Consider the following 2591-nt stretch of genomic DNA (forward strand, 5'->3'; position numbering starts at 1 on the left):
TCTACCTCCTTGCAGCGAGGCCTGGAGGGCGTTCCACGCGTGGGCACCGCGGCCTTCGGAGGCCTCCAGAGTCGGCCTCAGTGGGCGCGTCCTCCCTCCTGCTGGAGGGGACTGGACACCGTTAATGACAGCGAAAATCGCCTGGAGTTGATGACATTAATCTCCACCAGGCCTAATGAGCAACTCAGTTCCCCAGGCCAGCTGTGGGAGGGGCCTTGGGTGGGGGCAGAGATTAGCAGAGGGGCTAGGTGCCAGTGATGCCAAAACCCCAGGGGAGGCAGCCAGGGGTTAGGGTCAGGGGTCAGGGGAGGTGGGGTCCCCAGGGGAGAGGCAGCCAGGGGTCAGGGGTCAGGGGAGGTGGGGTCCCCAGGGGAGAGGCAGCCAGGGGTCAGGAGTGAGGGTTCAGGGGAGGTGGGGTCCCCAGGGGGAGGCAGCCAGGGGTCAGGGGAGGTGGGGTCCCCAGGTGAGAGGCAGCCAGGGGTCAGGGGCTCCCAGTCACTCAGTTGTGAAACGTGCAGTGTGTGCCACGTTAAGTCTTCTTAGCTCCTTTGCCAAGCAGCCCGAACATTTCAGAGGTGCAAGAGGGCAGAGTGCCACTACCTGAATGCCCCTGCCTGGCCAGGCGTCACTGTCCCTGTGGTGATGGGTGGGATGCAGCTGGCTTTTGGCGGGAAAGAATCTCTGGACAGGGTCACGCAGGCATCCTTGGTGAATCTGCAGTCCCAGCTCCGCCTGGGCCCAGCGGGCTGGGGGAAGAGGGTTTTCCTGCTGCGACCCACAGCAGAGGCTCACAGGCACCACAGTGGGGACAGGGGAAAACAGCGCAGCCACAGGAAGGATCCAGGGACTCAGGCCAGGCTGCTCAGGAGTCTCCAACCTGCTCTTGCCCTGCCCTGCTCTGCCCCGCCCCCTCCTGCTTCCTGCCTGGTGCGTCTGGCACGCAGGCCCGGGGAGGGTGCCCAGCCCTCCTCTGGGGGGCTTTCTCCTTGGCTTCCCTCTTGCCTTTGCACTCCAAGGCCGGCAGGAGGACCCTGCCTCCTCACCCATCAGTCTCCCAGGCTGGGCTGCTGGGCACAGTCCCGACTGCAGGTTTGGCACAGGGCAGAGCGTCGTCCCTGAAGCAGCAGCACGGGGCCTTCCCAGGCTGGGTAGGGTCTATCCAAGACCCTGCACTTGTTCTTCTGTGTTGACCTTGGTAGCTCAGCCCTGACCTCGGGAGTACCCCAAACACTCTGTGAGCACCTCCTACCGCCCCAGGTAACAAGACCTGTCCCTGAACCGAGGTGCCCTGCAGGAGAGAAGGAAAAACCAATGGAGTAGCAGCAGCAGAACAGCCAGCCCCACTGAGGGCCGAGCAGGGGGCTCAGGACATCGAGGATGGGCTGAGGGCTTCAGAATCATCCCGAGACGCGGGGAGCTGACCTCCTTGGGATCAGATGAAGACCCCATGCCCTCCCCCTAGAGAACTTTGCACACACAGGCCCTCCCCCTAGAGAACTTTGCACACAGTGTTCAGGGGGTCCCAGAGCTCTGAAGCCCCCACAGACTGTTGGGGCACCCCAGATGCAGAGCCCCTGGTGTGATGGGCCGTCTGCCGGCAGGTGGAGGGTGCCCTCTGGGGTGCTCGCCTAGGCCGTGTGGGTTCTCTGTCTTTCCTGTTCGCTGCATTTGTGCTGCCCTGGCATCCGGGGTCTCACTGACTGGAGGAGGTGCCTCTCCAGGGCTGGCGGATTCCTAGGGATAGAAAATAATTCCCTCGGAGCATGTGCGTGGTGTGTGTGCAAGCCATCCAGACCCCCAGCCACCCCTCTCTCCCACTCTCCCGTGGTGCGTGTGCAAAGCCATCCAGACCCCCAGCCGCCTCCTCTCTCCGACTCTCCCTTCAGGACCTAATCACCCCCTGTCCTAATCAGCCCGGGCCAGGCTCTGACAACGTGGAGCAGACCCTGCCCCCGGGGTCTGCTGATCCTGCCTCTCCAGAGTGGACCACCAAGAATGGCTCTTCCCATGTCTCTCGCTCACTCCTTCGGCCTCTGACCGCCCGGGGTTCCCCGGCCTACTGTGCGGTGTGCTACGCCTCCTCCTGGGAACGGTGGGCCACGAACTGTCTTCTGAAGGCCAGTGTTCTGCTCCGTTCGCCCCACACCTGAATAGCAATGAGACTGCACCCGGGCTGCCCAGCCCACGGGCACCCAGGACCATGCATTGGGGGATTCAAATAGTGAGTCTGTTCTCTCACAGTTCTTTTAATTTTTTTAGTATTTATTGATCATTCTTGGGTGTTTCTTGGAGAGGGGGATTTGGCAGGGTCATAGGACAATAGTGGAGGGAAGGTCAGCAGATAAACATGTGAACAAGGGTCTCTGGATTTCCTAGGCAGAGGTCCCTGCCGCCTTCCGCAGTGTTTGTGTCCCTGGGTACTTGAGATTAGGGAGTGGCGATGACTCTTAAGGAGCATGCTGCCTTCAAGCATCTGTTTAACAAAGCACATCTTGCACCGCCCTTAATCCATTTAACCCTGAGTGGACACAGCACATGTTTCAGAGAGCACGGGGTTGGGGGTAAGGTTATGGATTAACAGCATCCCAAGG

At 61.1% G+C, this 2591-nt stretch overlaps 1 annotated feature.

Annotated features, from left to right (window-relative positions):
• Nucleotides 214-833: an enhancer, noted in NCBI's record as "H3K27ac-H3K4me1 hESC enhancer chr2:239957575-239958194 (GRCh37/hg19 assembly coordinates)". NCBI's record gives its function as "activates a minimal SCP1, AML or CMV promoter by ChIP-STARR-seq in naive H9 embryonic stem cells {active_cell/tissue: H9 hESC(naive)}" and the evidence as "EXISTENCE:reporter gene assay evidence [ECO:0000049][PMID:30033119]".

This window comes from Homo sapiens, chromosome 2, assembly GCF_000001405.40.
Source record: "Homo sapiens chromosome 2, GRCh38.p14 Primary Assembly".
Lineage (NCBI taxonomy): Eukaryota > Metazoa > Chordata > Mammalia > Primates > Hominidae > Homo > Homo sapiens.